This window comes from Homo sapiens, chromosome 7, assembly GCF_000001405.40.
Source record: "Homo sapiens chromosome 7, GRCh38.p14 Primary Assembly".
NCBI lineage: Eukaryota > Metazoa > Chordata > Mammalia > Primates > Hominidae > Homo > Homo sapiens.
This window is the reverse complement of record NC_000007.14, coordinates 2,971,347-2,990,106: the sequence shown is the minus strand read 5'-3', so window position 1 is coordinate 2,990,106 and position 18,760 is coordinate 2,971,347. Positions and strand designations below refer to the sequence as shown.

The 18,760-nt window shown below is 49.8% G+C and overlaps 1 protein-coding gene across 2 annotated transcripts in view, besides 5 other annotated features; it reads left to right on the top strand.

The window, feature by feature from the left end:
• Window positions 1–18,760, top strand: part of CARD11 (caspase recruitment domain family member 11) — a 137,726-nt gene that overhangs the window by 53,761 nt on the left and 65,205 nt on the right. Inside the window, exon 2 of one of the 2 annotated variants that reach the window (NM_001324281.3) lies at window positions 9,527–9,587. The exons of the other annotated variant lie outside the window; for it this stretch is intronic. The gene's annotated coding sequence lies outside the window, so the exon portion shown is untranslated. The remainder of the gene's footprint in view (window positions 1–9,526; window positions 9,588–18,760) is intronic. 2 annotated transcript variants of the gene reach the window in all.
• Window positions 9,179–9,908: an enhancer, noted in NCBI's record as "H3K4me1 hESC enhancer chr7:3019833-3020562 (GRCh37/hg19 assembly coordinates)". NCBI's record gives its function as "activates a minimal SCP1, AML or CMV promoter by ChIP-STARR-seq in primed H9 embryonic stem cells {active_cell/tissue: H9 hESC(primed)}" and the evidence as "EXISTENCE:reporter gene assay evidence [ECO:0000049][PMID:30033119]".
• Window positions 9,179–9,913: a biological region, named in NCBI's record as "H3K4me1 hESC enhancer GRCh37_chr7:3019833-3020562".
• Window positions 9,824–9,913: an enhancer, noted in NCBI's record as "active region_25556". NCBI's record gives its function as "activates an Ori minimal core promoter by ATAC-STARR-seq in GM12878 lymphoblastoid cells {active_cell/tissue: GM12878}" and the evidence as "EXISTENCE:reporter gene assay evidence [ECO:0000049][PMID:35858748]".
• Window positions 9,909–10,640: an enhancer, noted in NCBI's record as "H3K4me1 hESC enhancer chr7:3019101-3019832 (GRCh37/hg19 assembly coordinates)". NCBI's record gives its function as "activates a minimal SCP1, AML or CMV promoter by ChIP-STARR-seq in naive H9 embryonic stem cells {active_cell/tissue: H9 hESC(naive)}" and the evidence as "EXISTENCE:reporter gene assay evidence [ECO:0000049][PMID:30033119]".
• Window positions 11,374–11,463: a silencer, noted in NCBI's record as "silent region_17891". NCBI's record gives its function as "represses an Ori minimal core promoter by ATAC-STARR-seq in GM12878 lymphoblastoid cells {active_cell/tissue: GM12878}" and the evidence as "EXISTENCE:reporter gene assay evidence [ECO:0000049][PMID:35858748]".

Below are 18,760 nucleotides of genomic sequence, written 5' to 3'. Positions count from 1 at the left end.
CGCTCTGTTGCCTAGGCTGGAGTGCAGTGGCATGATCTTGGCTCACTGCAACCACTGCCTCCCAGGTTCAAGCAATTCTCCTGCCTCAGCCTCCTGAGTAGCTGGGATTACAGGGGCCCGCCACCACGCCTGGCTAATTTTTGTACTTTTAGTAGATGCAGGGGGTTTCACCGTGTTGGTCAGGCTGGTCTCGAACTCCTGACCTCATGATCTGCCTGCGTCTGCCTCCCAAAGTGCTGGGATTGCAGGCATGAGCCACTGTGCCTGGCCACATTGGTAGATTTTTTAATGTTGAATGGACTAGCATTTCTGGAATAAATCTCACTTGCTCATGATGTGTTATCCTCTCTATATATTTTTGAAGTTATTGCTAATCCCATTAAGGATTTTCGTATCTATGTTCATGAAGTATGCTGGTTCCTAGTTTTCTATTCCTGTAATGTTTTTTGGTTGATTCTGGAATCAGCATAATATTGGCCACATAAAATGGGTGGGAAGTGTTGCTTTTTCCTCTGTTTTCTGAAAGTATTTATGTAAGATTTGTGTTATTTCTTCCTTAAATGTTTGACAGAATTCACCAGTGAAGCTGTATGAGTCTGGAATTTTCTTTGTGGGAGAGTTTCTGATAATGACTTCAACTTTTCAAATAGATATAGGGCTAATTCAGACTGTCTATTTCTTCTTAAGTCAATTTTGGGAATGTATATCTTTTGAGTAATTTCTGTTCTTATCATTCATATTATAGAATTGTGGGCATAATGTTTTTAAAACAATATTCCTAATATATTCTTAATGTCTGTTGCACTGGTAGTGATAGCTCCTCTTTCATTCCTGATATTGGTCATTTTGTTTTTTCTCTTTTTTTTTTTTTTTTTTTTTTGAGACAGAGTCTCGCTCTGTCGCCCAGGCTGGAGTGCAGTGGCGCGATCTCGGCTCACTGCAACCTCTGCCTCCCAGGTTCAAGCAATTCTCCTGCCTCAGCCTCCTGAGTAGCTGGGATTACAGGCATGTGCCACCACGCTCAACTAATTTTTATATTTTTAGTAGAGACAGGGTTTCACCATGTTGGTCAGGCTGGTCCCGAACCCCTGACCTCGTGATCCACCCACCTCAGCCTCCCAAAGTGCTGGGATTACAGGTGTGAGCCACCGCACCAGGCCTGTTTTTTCTCTTTTTTTCTTAGTGTATAGCTAGAGGTTTATCCATTTTGTTGCTCTTTTTAAAGACCCAGCTTTTGGTTTTCTAAACTGTTTTTAAGCTTTCTAACTTACTGTTTTTCACTCTTATCTTTATTTTCATTATCTTCTTTCCTCTTCTTTCTTTCTTTTGTTTTTTTTCTGGGGGTTTTGTTGTTGTTGTTGTTGTTGTTGTTTTGTTTTGTTTTGAGACAGGGTCTCACTGTCACCCAGGCTGGATTGCATTGGTGCAATCATAGCTCACTGCAGCCTCAAGCTCCTGGGCTCAAGTGATCATCCTGCCTAATTCTCTCAAGTACCTGAGACCACAGGTGCACACCACCTTTTATTTTTATTTTTATAGCAATGAGGTCTCACTAAGCTGCCCAGGCTGGTCTTAAACTCCTGGCATCAAGTGATCCTCCTGCCTCAGCCTCCCAAGGTGCTGAGATTACAGGCGTGAACCACCACTCCCAGCCTGGCTTCTTAATGCAGAAACTTAGACCATTAATTTTAAATTATTCTTCTTTTCTGATATGATCATTTAAAGTTATAAAGTCCTCCCTAAGCATTGCTTTAGCAGCATTCCACACATTTTGATGTTTTGTTTTTATTTCCATTCAGTTCAAAACATCTTCAAAAGTTTCTTTTGGTTTCTTATTTAACCAATGAGTTATTTAGGACTGTGTCATTTCATTTCCAAACATCTAGAAAACTTCTAGGTTCCTTTTTATCATAAGTTTCTACTTTAGTTTCATTGTGTCAGAGAACATACTCTATATAATTTTAGTCCTTTTAAAGTTGAGACTTGTTTTATAGACCAACAAAAGATCTTGGTGAATGTTCCACGTACACTTGAAAAGAGTATGTATGGCTGGGTGCAGTAGCTCGCACCTGTAATCCCAGCACTTTGGGAGGCCGAGGCGGGCAAATCACGAGGTCAGGAGTTCGAGACCAGTCTGGCCAAGATGGTGAAACCCTGTCTCTACTAAAAATACAAAAAATTAGCTGGGTGTGGTGGCGGGCACCTGTAATCCCAGCTACTCAGGAGGCTGAGGCAGGAGAATCGCTTGAACCTGGGAGGCGGAGGTTGCAGTGAGCCAAGATGGTGCCACTGCACTCCAGCCCGAGCGACAGTGTGACACTCAGTCCCAAAAAAAAAAAAGAGTATGTATTCTGCAGCTGTTAATTGTAGTGTTTTAAACATTAATTAGGTCAAGTTGGTTGATACTATTATTCAAATCTTCTATAGCCTTCATTTTTATCTATTGGCTCGAACAATTAGTGAAAAAGACTGTTGAAATCAACAACCATCATTGTAGATTTTGTCCAATTCTCCTTTCAGTTTTCTTTCTTTTGGCCTCACGTGTTTTGAAGCTTTAGAACTGGTGCATACACATTTAAGATTGTATCTTCTTGATGAATTGACTCTGTTTTCATTATGAAATGTCCCTCTTTATCCCTGGTAATACACCTCTTCCTGAAGTCTACTCTTCTGATATTAATATTGCCATTTCAGTTTTTATGAATAGCGTTTCCATCTTTTTACTGTTACCTTCTCTACATCTTTATGTTTCAAGTGTGCCTGTTATCGACGGCATAGAATTGAATCCTCTTTAATCCACCCCGATCACCTCTGCCTTTTCATTGAAGTGCTCAGTTCTTTAAAAAATAGCCAGGCATGGTGGTGGGTGCCTGTAATCCCAGCTGCTCAGGCGGCTGAGGCACGAGAATCATGTGAACCTGGGAGGCGGAGGTTGCAGTGGACCAAGGTTGGCCATGAGGTGGGATTTGTGGAGGGTCGGATTCACTAGGCACCCTGTCCCCAAAGAAGACTTCAAGTGCACTGAAAAAACTTATATGAAATATTATCTGATTTTTAAATATTTAACTTGTTTGGGGTTTTTTTAACAGATTTTTTAAAATTTTCTATCACTTTTGGGGTACTAGTGGTTTTTAGTTACATGGACGAATTCTATAGTGCTTCAAACCAAAGTCCTGAAAGACTCAGGCAGGGAGTGAACCGGCAGTCGGTGACCCACATCTCTGCGCACGGGGAGGGGTCAGGCAGGGAGTGAACCAAGAGTCGGGGACCCACGTCTCTGCGCACAGGGAGGGGTGAGTTGGAGCGGCGTTTATCAGTGTGTGTGAGCGTCACCTGGGGAGCCTGTTAAACCGCAGGCTCCGTTCCGAAGGGCTGAGGTGAGGCTCAAAATGCGGCAGGTGAAGCACCTGCTGACGCTGCGGCCGATGGGCGACACTTTGAGTGAGGAATTTGAGGCTGTGAGCAGGGGCTGTGGAGGGCAGTTGCATAGGTGAGGAGTCAGCTCTAAATCCAGTCAATGGGGAGAAGAGAGTTTGATTTACACAAACTCAGCTTACCGGTAACATTTAATCCTGGAAGCCAGCTGCACCTGTTGGTGCTGACCGTGATACCTGAGGGGTTCCGGCTCCAGCATCCCAACAACCTCAGCCATGACCCTAGGAGGGTTCCCTGCAGAGGTGCAGGGAGCAAAACCTGAGCTGTTCCTACTCGTTCAGGAGCTGGGACCCAAATACCTGCAGAATTGCAATACGCTTCTGTTTAAAAAAAAAAAATCCGGCGAGAAAAAAAATCCCTCAAAAACTCTATTACCTTCTGTCATAAACTTTTTACTAGAATATAATCCTGTGTGCCTTGACCACAGACTAAATCTAAAGTTTTACGTTGCAGGCTCTATCGGGGGGAGCACGGCTCCTTCTCACTTCTGATGAGTATTTGCATTTTGCAGGGAGGGGTCTGTGTACCAGGTCCTGTGTGCAGTGCCCATGCAGGCTGTCTGCACAGGCGTGACCTGTGTGCAGGGAAATGACACATCCCCACACGATCCACACACGCTGGGACTGCAGACCCTGTGTTCCACACACGGACACGCTTGAGTAGATATTAGCGTGATGTCGGCACCGACCAGATGGATTGGGTTTTTCCGAACATGTTTGGGAAATTAATGGTCACATTCTCACTTCAGCTTCCTGAATCATGTTTGAAATAGTCCGTGTCTCCTCCGTAGGACTTCAGATAGTAGTGAGTTCTGGATTGGGGATTTAACTCATAAACTCATGCAAGATGATGATTATAAAGTCTCCCATTTATGGAGCTCCTCCTGTATGCCAGGCATGTTCTTTAGACATTTGTTGAATCATCCCTAAAATCCTGCAAACTATGGGCATTATTATTCCTGCATTATAGGAGGAGAAAATGAAGCCAGGAGTAGTGGGAGGAATAGGGTGGTCCTGGGTTTCATGTGTTCTGTGGAGTATGAAGGAGGAACTATAGGGTTCCTCTGATCTTTTTGGGTTGTGGGCAGAAGGTATCTGGAAGTCACTACCAGGAAGGCTGGCTGGTGGCGAGAAGGACTCCGCACCATCCAGTCCGTTGTAAGGCAGAATGGACTATGCTGTGTGCCCCCAGCTCACGCACAGCATTGAGCAGAGGCCCTGGGCACTTTCTGAGCTCCGGTGGCCTTCCCTTAAGCTCCTATGCCGAGCTGTGTATTATTCCCAGTGCCTCCCTTTTGCTGTGGACAATGTTCCATCAGAGGGTTTTATTATTATTATTATTAAAGACAGGGTCTCGCTCTGTCACCCAGGCTGGAGTGCAGTGACACGATTATGGCTCACCGCTTCTTGAACTCCTGGGCTCAAGTGATCCTCCCACCTTAGCCTCCCGAGTAGCTGGGACCACAGGGGCACACCACCATGCCTGGCTAATGTTATAAAATCTTTTGTAGAGAGGTCTGACTATCCCAGGCTGGTCTCGAACTCTCGGGCTCAAGTGATCCTCCTACCTCAGCCTCCCAAATTGCTGAGACTACAGGTGTCAGCTACCGGGCCCAGCCTACCAGAGGGTTTTAAAGAGAAGACAGAAGCTGGGTCTCTGATCTGCAGCACAGTGTATTAGTCAGAGACATGGAAACAGTAGGATACATAGAGACATATATAAAAGGGGATTTAATTATGGGAATTGGATTACATGACTATGGAGGCCAAGAAGCCCCATGACATGCTCTATGCAAGCTGGAGAATCACAGAAGCCACGGCCGGGCGTGGTGGCTCCCACCTATAGTTCCAACACTTCCAGAGGCCAAGGCAGGAGGATCACTTGAGCCTAGGAATTCAAGACCAGCCTGAGCAACATAGGGAGTCCCCATCTCTAAAAAAAATTTAAAAACTTAGCCAAGCATGGTGATGCACACCTGTAGTCCCAGCTACTCGGGAGGCTGAGGCAGATGAATAACTTGAGTCCAGGAGTTCAAGGCTGCAGTGGGCCATGATCATGACACTGCACTCCAGCCTTGGCAACAGAGCAAGACCCTGTCTCAGAAAAGAAGAAAGGAAGGAAGGGAGGGAGGGAAGGGAGGGAGGGAGGGAGGGAGGGAGGGAGGGAGGGAGAGAGAAAGAAAGAAGGAAAGAGAAAGAAAAACGGAGAGAGAAAAAGAAAGAAAGCTAGTATATAATTCAGTCCCAGTTTGAAGGTCCGAAAACAAGGGAGTCCATGGTGTCAGTCCCAGAGTTTGAAGGCCCAGAACCAAGAGCTCCAGTGTCAGAGGACAGGAGAAGACAGATGTCCCAGCTCAAACGAGAATTTTTCCTTCCTCTGACTGTTTGTTCTATCAGGGGCCCTGGACAGATGGGATGGCACCCAACCACGTTGGGGAGGGCGGATCTTCTTAACTCAGTCTACTGATTCAAATGCTGAGCTCCTCCACAAACATCCTCACTGACACACCCAGATGTTTTACCAGCTATCTGGACATCCCTTAGCCCAATCAGGTGGACACATAAAATTAACCAGCACATCGAGTACCCCGCTGCTGTGCCCAGAGCTTCCTGGAGACCCAAGGAAGCGACATCTGAGCCACCTCCAACTCTGCCTGAACGAGCAGTCCCTCCTTGTCCTTCCAGGCCAGAGGCTGCCCCTCTGCAGCGGGGCCCATGGGGCCCTAGAAAGGGCCCAGTGAGGGGCAGCAGGAGAGGAAGGGTTAATCAGGCAGTAGGTTCTGTTGCCTGCAGGTGTTCACGTTCCCTCCGCCTCTCCAGGCTGGCTTCCACGGTGACTTCATTAGCAGCAGGCTGCTAATTAAATTTCATATTTATGATCAGAAAAGAAAATCATTGGACCTTTTTGAAATAGGATTTTATGAGTTTTGGCTCCGGCAGCTGAATCAGCAGTCAAGGGCCTGCCTGTTTGGAACTACAGCTTCAAGGCGGAGATAAAGAAAACAAATAGTGCCAGGGAGGAGGTGGGATCCTGAGTGCTTGCACAGGCCTAGGCCTGAACTGCTTTGGGGGCCTCAGAAGGACAGACCTGGCTCCACTGGAGGAGCAGCATCAGGAAAGAAGCCTCCTGGCCAGGTGCGGTGGCTCACGCCTGTTATCCCAGCACTTTGGGAGGCCGAGACGGGTGGATCACCTGAGGTTGGGAGTTCGAGACCAGCCTGGCCAACATGGTGAAACCCCGTCTCTACTAAAAATACAAAAATTAGCTGAGCGTGGTGGTGCACGCCTGTCATCTCAGCTACTCAGGAGGCTGAGGTGGGAGAAATTGCTTGAACCCAAGAGGCAGAGGTTGCAGTGAGCCGAGATTGTACCACTGCACTCTAGCCTGGACAACACAGTAAGATTCCGTCTCAAAAAAAAAAAAAGGGAAAGAGGGCTGCCTCCCAGCCCCCTTGTTGAAGCTCAGGAGTCCAGGCTGGGGCTCAAACCCCAAAGCCCCTAAGTCCACATCAGGTCGGCCCCATTTCCAGGGTCACCAGGCTCCTCTGGGGCTGACTTATTGGCAGAACCACCTGTTTTGTATTTTATGTTTCTTGTCATACTAGAAAAATCACTCCTCACCCACAAGCTTAGGCTCCCACCTCCCTGGGCGTGCGTGCCGGAAGCTCTCAGATGCCACTTCCTTTATGTGTGTGACTTAGTTACTGCTGCCTCCTCCAAGGAGTCCCTCTCCTCTGTGGCCTCAGGTGACCCCCTCTTTTCCGTGCTGCTCATGGGGGGACTCAGCTTCTTCTGCCCCATGGCGCTGGTGATCCTTGGCGTGCTCCCTGGAGCAGCCCAGTAGGAACCTTTTCACCCTCTCCCGGGGAAATGGGAATCAAGCCTGAATTCCACCAGCCATGTTTTGGTCTCTCCGATGGGGTGTGTTTAAGAATCCAATTGGAAGGGACTTTTACCTCCAGGGGGTCTGGCCCCACCTTTGAAGGTGTTGACATCTTTTCCCCCTGAAATTGCCAGTCCCATATTGAATCAGCTTCCTTCTGACTCTTTTTGGTGGGTTTCAGGCCTCCCGATATCATCATCACTGTCTCTCCCGCCTAAGCCGGGAAGGATGAGGTCAACGTCCACTCCGCTCCTATGCAAGTGAACACTAGTTTCTCAGCCGTTGCTTCCTTTCCCTGTGCAACAGCACCCAAATCTACTATCGTAGCCGGCTTCCTCCCTATTTCCCAGCCTACATCGATCACAAGAATACTTGCTGTTCCCCTTCGTTTCTTCCAAAAACTTGAGGTGTAATCAGTGAGCTTCCCAGCCTTCCCAGAAAGTGCTAGCGCTGGAATGATCAGAGAGCGGAGGTGTGAGGAGATCATGGTCAGTCCCTGCTGCTCCCCCAATTCTCCATGGCGGCCCTGGCTGGGGGCACCGTGTCTTCCTCCCCCAGACAGTCCTACTCCAGGGCGTTTACTCAAAAGAAATGACAGCACGTCCACATGAAGATCTGTACAGGAAGGTCCCAGGCAAACAGGAAACAACCCACATGTCCAGCGAAAGATACACAAGTCAGGAAAATGTGGGACATTTTCGATGGAATACTGCCCAGTGACAAACAGGAATGCGTGACTGACACCAGCCTCACACGCTGCGTGAAAGCAGCCAGACCCTAAAGAAGATGGATGCCCTAGCTCAAAATGGCAAATTCTTCCCTCCTCCGACTTTCTGTTCTATCAGGGGTCCTCGGCAGATTGGATGGCACCCTTCCACAATGAGGAGGACGGGTCTTATTGACCCAGTCCTCTGATTCCAATGCTGAGAAACAACCTCAACAACACACCCAGAAATGTTTTACCAGCTATCTGGGCATCCCTTAGCCCAGTCAAGTTGACACAGAAAATTAACCATTGCATGGAGTACACAGCTGCGGTGCCCAGAGCTTCCTGGAGACCCAAGGAGGGGACGTCTGAGTAGAACAACACATTATTCTACTCTCCTAAGGTTCAAGCAAAGGCAAAGCTGATGGAAATCACAGGAGCGGTTGCCTTTGGGGGCCACAGGGGGATGGAAAGGGCCCTGGAGAACTTCTTAGTGGGGGTCACCATGCTCTGTATCACGACTGAGATCTTGGTTGCGTGGGCATCTTCCTAACTCATCGAACTGTGTACTGAAGACCCATGCAGCTCACTGATTACACCTCAACTTTTTGGAAGAAAAGAAGGGAAACAGCGAGTATTCTTGTGATTGGTATAGGCTGGGAAATAGGGAGGAAGCCTGCTAAGATAGTAGACTTGGGTGCTGTTGCACACAGGGCCAGGGCCAGGAAGCAATGGCCGAGAAACTGGTGTTTGCTTGTATAGGAGCGGAGGGGACGTTGACAGCTTTGGGGAAGGAATTGATCGCCTGCATCCACAGGTCGCTGGGGTGGGCGGTGTTCATGCATTGCCTCCATTCATTCCCACAACTCTGGTTGCCCTCCATTCTCTGGTAAAGACACGATGTTCCAGCCATGATGTTCCAGTCCAAAGTACTTTGGGCTCCACACCCACTAACAAACTTCAAAGAGACAGAGGGGAAAAGGGTATGCATCATGGGATGCACGCTCATAGAAGAGTGTTCCCTGGAATGTCCAAGGCCCCGCACTTCTGCTGGCCAGTCTTCCTCCTCTGTGGAATTCAGAGGCAGAGGAGGCCAGAGAGGTCCCCTGGGTGAGGTCTGGCGTGGCCCGGGGCCCAGCGGTGAGAGCAGAGCAGAGGTGCGAACAGTGACTGACGACGCCGGGTTCCTGCCCTTGCCTCCCTGCCCCACCGCCCTCCTGGCCCTGATGACAGACGCACCCTGTTCCCTGCAGTTTCTGCCTGCCCTGCACGGCCTGGGTCCCTTTCTGCTCTCCGAGCCTCCCCACTCCCATGAATGGAAAGTCACCCACAGATTCTGCTCGGAACAAAAAAAAAAAAAGAGGGAAGTAAGGCAGCCCACCCCCAGTCCCCACTTCTGCCCCCGCTAAAAATAGAGGCAGCATCTGAGTGGGGCGTCGGTGTAGGCTTCCGGGGGAGGTGGCTGCTCTCCCACAGCCTTGGTGTTTTCTGGGGAATCAACAGGAGGAGAGAGAATTTGAGAGGAACACGAGGAACCCCCAGGACCCAGCTGGCTCACAACCGCGTGAGTACGTTTCCCAACTGGCCGGTCCCGTGACTGAGGCCCGCGGGTGCAGCGCTGGTGAAGCCCTGTCCCTGGGGGGCTGCCATGGGACCCCCTCTCCCCAGCACCTGGCCCCCTTGTCCTGTCCGTGCCCATGTGTTTTCATGGCTTCATGCACACCTCTTTGCATCTCCTAATTTCCTAAACCAGATGTGGAGTCTCAGCAGCAGGTGCTGGGGCGACTGTCTCATGCCGTGGCTTGGATTGCACAGAGCTCCATGGATCCAGCCCGTAGACGCTCTCCATACATGCCCGGTGACCCACACAGGCCAGGATGCTCCCGTTGTCATGTGGCACTGGGTCTTATTTTCTTCTGACTGGGACAGTGCCAGGGGCCGGGGAGTGGGGCTCAGTGCGCAGAGTGTGTCTCAAGGCCTGAGTTGCCCGTGGCCCCCAGCTGGGTGGAGAGGAAGTGTGTACAGGGTCTGTTTCCAAAACGTGGGGCCTTGCAGCCTGGCCCTCCCCAGGTCTGGGAAGGGTTCGTGTTCCCCACCCCTCAACCCCGCAAGCACCTTCCAGACGGTTCCTCTGGGATCTCTTGAGATTGCAAATGCTAAGAAATGAGGCTGTGGCTCGCTGGTGTCCACCGGGGCACCAAAGGCCCAGCCCCTGCCCACAAACACCGGAGGACAAACCAGGCGACTGTGGGACAAGGAGCTTCCCAAAGAGACAGTAGGACTGGGGACCCCAAAGGGGAAGTTCCCCTCCCCCCGGGATCCCTGAAAGGGATCCGAGTAGATTCCTCAATTCCTGGTGAAACACTCGGGAATTTCTTAAGTCCTGCGGGCTTGAAGACCCTCGGCAGCCCCTTGGTAACTTTTGCTTGCAAGAGACTACAGCCTTTTTGGGGCTTCGCTGACTTAAGTGGTTTGAAAGCATCAGCTGGTCCTCAGAGACCTCCTTTAAAATGCAAAACAGAATAATAGGCTCTTAGTGTCTCTAGTTCACATACCGCGTAACGTCCGTCTGACAGCCCTGAGTGCAGAGATTTCGGGGTGACCCCCAGCCGTCACTGCCCGGCAGGTGGAGCCCCACCTGCAATATGCTCCTGTCACCTTAAATCCTGGCTTCCTAAGTGGGCTCCTTCATAGCTCCCTGCACACAGGGAAGAAGAGACAGATGATCAGAGAGCAGCCAGTTACCCCCTCTTCGATGCTAAGGAAACGCATTCTTAACAACCTCATGTCCATACTGATCGACCGTTTCTGGGTGCAGTTTTCACAGGTGCCTTATTTCATTATTGGTGATTGTATCATTTGGCACAAACGTAAGAAAGACTTCCCTGTTTGCATCTCATTTGTCGTCTTGCAGTTACACGGCGGGAGGGTACAGATGATCTCTGAGCCTGCAGAATCCCAGGGTCTTCTCACTGTTGCTGGGGAGCGTATTTCCGTCACCACTGTGGTGGGGGAGGCAGAAACCACTGGAAAAACGTGGCCTCATGTTTGCTGGTCTTGGATTGTAGTAGATAAAGTGCAAAGAAATGGCCACCCCAGGCTCCAAGCCCGACAAATTTATCTAAAGACGTTTTTACACAATAGAGGCATTAACAGAGAGGGTGGGGGCACACCACGAGAGTCTGCCCCCTTAGAAGAAGAAAAATCGGTGCATTTCGAGATGTGTTTGGCTCCTCTTACCTTGCACGGATAGGCGGAAAGTGTGAGTCTGAGTATTTGTAAGTTTCAAGATCACTGATGGGCTGGAAACAGGTGAGCCGGCCTCCGGGAAATTACCCAAGTTCTTCAGCAAGTTGCCTGCAGTCCTGGGAGCTCTCAGGAGAAGGGGCGTGACCAGAGCTGGTTGCAGCACCCCCACCCCCTGGCCGGACCGCCCTCTCGCTTTCTCAGCCTGCACCCGGTGCCCGCGCCACCCCCACCGTCTCCTCCCTCCGAGTTGCCGTTCTTCATTTCTCTTTCCTTTTCTCAGCTCTGCACCTGTGGGTACAACGTAAAACCCTGAGTTCTTGTTCCCTTTTCTGTCACAAGGCCTCTGTCCCGCCGTCCCCTCTTCTCCCACTCACCTCACCCTCTTTCTCCACCTCTGCTTCTATCTTGTCCTTTCCTTGACCCTGCCTCCTGTAAGTGCAGATCACAATGTCAGGAGATGGAGACCATCCTGGCCAACACGGTGAAACCCCGTCTCTACTAAAAATACAAAAATTAGGGCACGGTGGCGGGTGCCTGTAATCTCAGCTACTCAGGAGGCTGAGGCAGCAGAATCGCTTGAGCCCAGGAGGCAGAGGTTTTAGTGAGCCAAGATCGCGCCACTGCACTCCAGCCTGGCGACAGAGTGAGACTCTGTCTCAGAAAAAAAAAAAAAAGGCCAGGCACGGTGGCTTACGCCTGTAATCCCACCACTTTGGGAGGCCGAGGCAGGTGGATCGCGAGATCAGGAGATTGAGACCATCCTGGCTAACACGGTGAAACTCCGTCTCTACTAAAAATACAAAAAAATTAGCCAGGCATGGTGGTGCACGCCTGTAATCCCAGCTACTTGGGAGGCTGAGGCGAGAGAATCGCTTGAACCCGGGAGGCAGAGGTTGCAGTGAGCCAAGATCACGCCATTGCACTCCAGCCTGGCAACAGAGTGAGATCCATCTCAAAAAAAAAAAAGGCATTCCTGCAATTCCCACGTGGACTGTTGCCTCCCATGACAAGCACACGGCCTCCCTACAGCGCTCAAGTCCCAGCTTCCCCACAACCTGTCTCATCCCTTGGTGTCCCCTCCCCAAGACTGGGAAGTCTCAGGTCTTCACCAGAGATGATCAGAGCTTCCTGCCCAGGCTGTCTGGGGCTTGGAGTCACTGAGGGTTTGGGGCCTAGCCCCTGCTCACCTCGGCTCAAAAAATTGTAGCTGTTTTTATTTTAGTTTAGTTTATTTTTGAGACAGGGTCTTCCTCTGTCACCCAGGCTAGAGTGCAATGGTGTGATCATAGCTCACTGCAGCCTCAAACTCCTGGGTCAAGCAATCCTCCTGCCTCAGTCTCCTGAGTAGCTGAGACTACAGACATACCCCACCACGCCTGCCTAATCTTTTTATTTTTTTGCCCAGATGGGGTCTTGCTATGTTGCCCAGACTGGTCTCAGACTCCTGGGCTCAAGTAATCCTCCTGCCTCAGCCTCCCAAAGTGCTGGGACTACAGGTGTGAGCCACTGCACCCAGCCTGTTGCTATTTATTTATTGAGGTAAGATTCATATAACATAAAAGTCACCATTTTAAAATCAATAACCTGGTGGCGTCTAGTACATTCATAGTGCTATGTAACAACCACCTCTATCCAGCCCCAGGACAGTTTCATCACCCCAAAAGGAAACCTCATCCCCATTAATACCCACCCCCTCCTCCATCCCTGCCTCCCCCCAGTCCCTGGTACCCACGAACCTGCCTTCTGAATCTATGGATTTGCCTATTCTGGGCGTTTCATCTAAATGGCATCTTATGATGTGTGGCCTTTTGTGTCTGGCTTCTTTCACTGAGCTTAGTGTCTGCAAGGCTCATCTGTGCCACAGCAAGCAGCAATGCTTCTTCGTGCCTTTGTATGGATGAATAATATTCCATTCTATGGATAAGATGTCTTTTTTTTTTTTTTTTTTTTTTTGACAGTTTTACTCTGTCGCCCAGACTGGAGTGCAGTAGTGCAATCTCAGCTCACTACAACCTCCGCCTCCCGGATTCAAGTGATTTTCCTGCCTCAGCCTCCCAAGTAACTGGGATTACAGGGGCCTGCCACCACGCCCGGCTGATTTTTGTGATTGTTTGTTTGTTTGTTTGTTTGAGACGGAGCTTTGCTCTTGTCGCCCAGGCTGGAGTGCAGTGGCGCCATCTCGGCTCACTGCAACCTCTGCCTCCCGGGTTCAAGCAATTCTCCTGCCTCGGCCTCCAGAGTAACTGGGATTACAGACACATGCCACCACGACCGGCTAATTTTTGTATTTTTAATAGAGACGGGGTTTCACCGTGTTGGCCAGGCTGGTCTCAAACTCCTGACCTTAAGTGATAGGCCCACCTCCACCTCCCAAAGTTCTGGGATTACAGGCGTGAGCCACCGTGCCTGGCCTGATGTCTTTATTTTAAATGTCGCTGGAGTGAAGGGTTCAGGGCTTCAGGGACTGTGAAGGGAGCGGGGCAGAGAGAAAAGGGCCAGCACCTTGCTCAGCACCAAATGCAGCAAACAAAGCAGACTCCAAGTATCTCAGCCCCTCTCCCTCGTCATCCCATGGAGGAGCTCTGACTTATTGGTGAAGGTGGAGCTCCAAGCCAGCCCTTCCAGGAGGCCGGTTAGAGGAACAGAGCAGTTTCAACCAGCCTTCCCGAGCTGCAGCTTGGCTCTGCTCCTGAGTGTATTATAACAATTAATTACAGCCAGTCCTGGGTTATCTGGAGTAATAGGGGACCCGAATAACACAGAGCTAATTGAAACGTGGGCTGCAGGGGTGGCGGGAACAGAGAGGGCCCCATTCCATGAAAGAGCTGTTTATTTTGTAGTTAATTATAAGTAAAGAGACCCTTTCTGAATCCCCGCTCTCTCTCCGTCTTTCTCCCTCTCAGATGCCCCACATTTAATTGGATGCACAAACCTATTTTGCTCCCAAAATAGTGGTACTCAATTAATGCATTTCAACGCACGAGCTCCCCTGGCATCTTGTTGGCAGAATTCTCCGAGACAGAAAATCCGACTGGTTTGAATTCCGTTTCTGTGCCCACCTAACCTCAGATGGAGACACTCATTGTTATAATAATTGTGATAATAAGAGCACCGGATGTAGGTTTCATGCTTTATTCTTCTAGAAATGCCTCCTGTAAATGGTGATGTTACTGTAAGACACACAGCAGAGGCCAGGCGTGCTGGCTCACGCCTGTAGTCCCAGAACTTTGGGAGGCTGAGGCAGGTGGGTCACTTGAGGTCAGGAGTTCAAGAACAGCCTGGCCAACATGGGGAAACCCTGTCTCTACTAAAAATACGAAAATTAGCCAGGTGTGGTGGTGGGCGTCTGTAATCCCAGCTACTAGGGAGGCTGAGGCAGGAGAATCGCTTGAACCCAGGAGGCAGAGGTTGCAGTGAGCCGAGATGGCACCACTGCACTCCAGCCTGGGTGAACTCCATCTCAACAAAAAAACAAAAACAAAAACAAAAAACACATAGTAGAAAGCAAAATCAGACAAATGAGGAATCTGGAACCTGCCCCACTGGGTCGTCAGTTCCTGGGGATTAAGAGGTGGTGAGGTTACTCTTTGGAGGTCTCTTGAGAGCCCTTTCCTGAATGGTCAAATGTGCTTAAATATTGAGATGCTGCTTTATTTTATTTTATTTTTATTGTATTTTATTGAGACAAGCTCTTGCTCTGTCACCCAGGCTGGAGTGCAGTGGCGCAATCACGGCTCACTGCAGCTTTAACCTCCTGGGCTCAGGCGATCCTCGCGCCTCCGCCTCCTCAAGTAGCTGGGACTACAGGTGTGCACCACCACACCCGGCTTGTTTTTGTATTTTTGGTAGAGACGGGGTCTCCCTATGTTGCTCAGGCTGGTCTCAAACTCCTGGACTCAAGCTATCCACCCACCTTGGCCTCCCAAAGTGCTGGGATTATAGGTGTGAGCCACTGTGCCTGGCCTGAGACACTTATTTTCCTGTCTAGTTAAGACTAAAAATCTCTATTGTGTCCTGAAGTTTTCCATCTCCAGCGTCTTAATTATTCATTTTCCTTCCCGGAAGCCCAGCCACAGCCTACAGTAATCCTGGTGAGGTTACAGACAGCCCAAGCATGAACGTCCAGAACACGGGATGGGGGCTTCCCAGGTCTCCTACACCACAGCAGTCTCCCCTTAGAGGCTGTCAGCGTCCGCCTGCGCGTCTGTCATGTGGGTTTGGTAACTGAGACATTCTGTCGTCCTGCTCTGAGGTTGACTGAATGCCCACTGTGTGCAGACACCCACCGCACAGAGACATTGTGCCCTGGTTGTCTGGGAATATGTCCTCTGAAGGTCAACTGGTAAAGAAGTTCCCATACACCCCTCATTCCCTTAAACAATGAGAGAGGGACGAGTATAATCCAAAAAATGATGGCTGATATGGGGTTATCAATATCCCACAAACATAACTGAACTCCAGAAACAGCCCAGTGGACAGAATGGACTTTCTTGTTTTTGAGATAGGATCTCGCTCTGTCACCCAGGCTGAAGTCTAGTGATGCAATCATGGCTCACTGCAGCCTCTACCTCCTGGGCCCAAGTGATCCTCCCACCTCAGCCTCCTGAGTAGCTGAGACCACAGGCACACACCGCCATGCCTGCCTACTTTTTTAATTTTTTTGTAGAGACAAGGTCTCACTATGTTGCCCAGGCTGGTCTCAAACTCCCAGTCTCAAGTGATCCCCCTGCCTTAGCCTCCCAAATAGCTACAACTACAGGCACATGCCACCACACCCAGCTAATTTTTTTATAGTTTTATAGAGACGGAGTCTCACTATGTTGCCCAAGCTGGTCTCGAATTCCTGGGCTCAAGCAATCCTCCTGCCTCAGCCTCCCCAAAGTGCTGGGATTACAAGCATGAGCCATGGTGCCCAGCAGAATAGACTGGCTTTGATAGTGAAGAAGGCCCTTCAGATTCTGGAAATTGCCCAGGGTGGGAGCAGGTGGCAGATATGTTTGTTGTTTCCGTAACACTGATGTTTGGGGACACTGGCAAATGAAGAGCTCTCCTGGTGGGACATAGGACCAGCTGGCCTGTCTGCATTTCACCAGGTAAAGACAGTTTGCGCCCTGCAGGTCAGAAATCAGAGGGCCATCTATTCTAGGCTTCTAACCCGTGAGTGATTGAGAGTACAAGATGGATTGGTGCATACCTCCAAACTGCAGGCACAGTGGAACCATCTAGGTGGGAACAGCAGGCACCGGAAAGCAGTCACAGTGAAAGCTCTCCCCACACATGGGGAGGTAGAGGTCTGATCGGCTGAAGGGAAGAAGCTGTAATGAGCGAAAGAAAGCCAGCGTTTAGCCACTGGACACCACTCACTTGATAAATATGAAATGCCGATTTATGGAACACACTTGCTAAGCCAGGGTACACAAGGAAATATGAAGTGTGTCCCTGCCCAGAGGAACGTGGAAGACACAGAAAGATGCCAACACCACCGGCTGGGTGAGTTTCCAATCGGAAGCTCAGACAGAAGGTTTGAGGGTAAATGTTTAAAGTTTTTCTCTAAATTCTGCTTGGAATGGAGGTAATTACACAGGACGAGTAGGTAGTGACTTCTTGTTTCTGTCCTGAGTTTGCTGCTAGCTTCCGACGGGGGTGGGCTGAGTAGCTAAGTAGCATTGCCCACTGTACGTGCCACAGTAGCCTTAAGATGTTAGTGCTACTCGTGGCCAGGAGCGGTGGCTCACGCCTGGAATCCCAGCACTTTAGGAGGCCGAGGCCAGTGGATCACTTGCGGCCAGGAGTTCAAGACCAGCCTGGCCATCATGGCAAAACCCCATCTCTACTAAAAATACAAATAAATAAATAAATAAATAAGCAAGCGCAGTGGCACATGCCTGTCATCCCAGCTACTCCGGAGGCTGAAGTGGGAGGATCGCTTGAGCTCAGGAGGCGGAGGTTGCAGTGAGTCAAGATAGGGCCACTGCATTCCAGCCTGGGCAACAGAAGCAGACTCCACCTCAAAAAAACAACAACAACAACAACAAAAAACGATGTTAGTGCTACTCAGCCAATAAAAGGGGGCTCAGAGAGGGTAAGCAACATGCCCAAGGCCACACAGCAACAAATGGCACAACTGAAGTTTAAACCCAGGACTCTCTGACTGCAGGACCACATCCTTCCCACTAAGAACACAGAGGGGAACTGCCGTTTTTATCTCTTCATGCAAAGGTTTTTTTTTTTTTTTTTTGGTTTGACTTTCTTTTTGTTTAATTAGAATTCCTGCAATCCTTTCCCCTACAACCCCTGCCCTTTTTGGAGGGAACGATGTCACTTCACAGCAGCAAGTACAACTTACAATATTTTAACCTCCTGAGTGCAGGAGGTTAAAGTCACTCAAGCCTAGCCCTCAAAAACCACCCTACTTCTTTTTCTTCTGCTGCCTGGAAATCTGCCCACTGAGCCTGATAGATGAGAAAATGCAGTGTTGACCTCAAGCCTTGAACACCTTGGGTTAAAATAAGGAAGTCCAAGACCTAAATAAAACCCAGATCTGGCAGGGCATGGTGGCTCATGCCTGCAATCCCAGCATCTGGGGAAGCTGAGGCTTGAGGCCAGGAGTTCAACACCAACCTCGACAATGTAGTAAGACCCCCATCTTTAAAATAGAAACATTTAAAAAGTAGCTGGGTGTGGTGGTGTACATCTGCGGTCCCAGCTCCTGGGGAGGCTTGAGGTGGGAGGATCACTGGGGCCCAGGAAGTCAAGGCTGCAGTGGGCTCTGATTGCACCCCTGCACTCCAGCCTGAGTGGCAGAGTAAGACCTTGTCACACACACACAAAATTTAAAGTGTCTTTTTTTCTTTGAAAAGGAGTTTTGCTCTTGTCGCCCAAGCTGGAGTGCAATGGTGCAATCTCGGCTCACTGCAACCTCCACCTGCCAGGTTCAAGCGATTCTCCTGCCTCAGCCTCCCTCGTAGCTGGGATTACAGGCACCCACCACCACACCCAGCTAATATTTCGTATTTTTAGTAGAAACGGGGTTTCACCGTGTTAGCCAGGCTGGTCGTGAACTCCTGACCTCAAGTGATCCACTCGCCTCGGCCTCCCAGAGTGCTGGGATTACAGGCATGAGCCACCATGCCTGGCCAAAAAAAAAAAGCTGCTTCCTGAACCTTGGGTTGACCAGACCTGAAGGCCTTTCTAGAAGGAAGAGCTGGGAGCCCTGTGAAGCTCCAGGGAAAGACACACAGACCCCTCCTTGGGCTCTTCTGCTGTGGTTGAGGCGACTTGCCCTGACTGCACCTCTTGGTGGATCCTGGGACAAGAATGGGAGGATTAGAAAGCTAGAGGCAGAAGCCTCCACCACCACATCCCTGTCACCATGGAAGAAAACCTGAAATCTGCATTTCAAAAAAAAATACTGACCTTCTAGCCAATGGAAAAAGTTGGCAAAGTTACTTTCAAACACCTGGGAATGTGTTTCGAAGCACTGCTGCA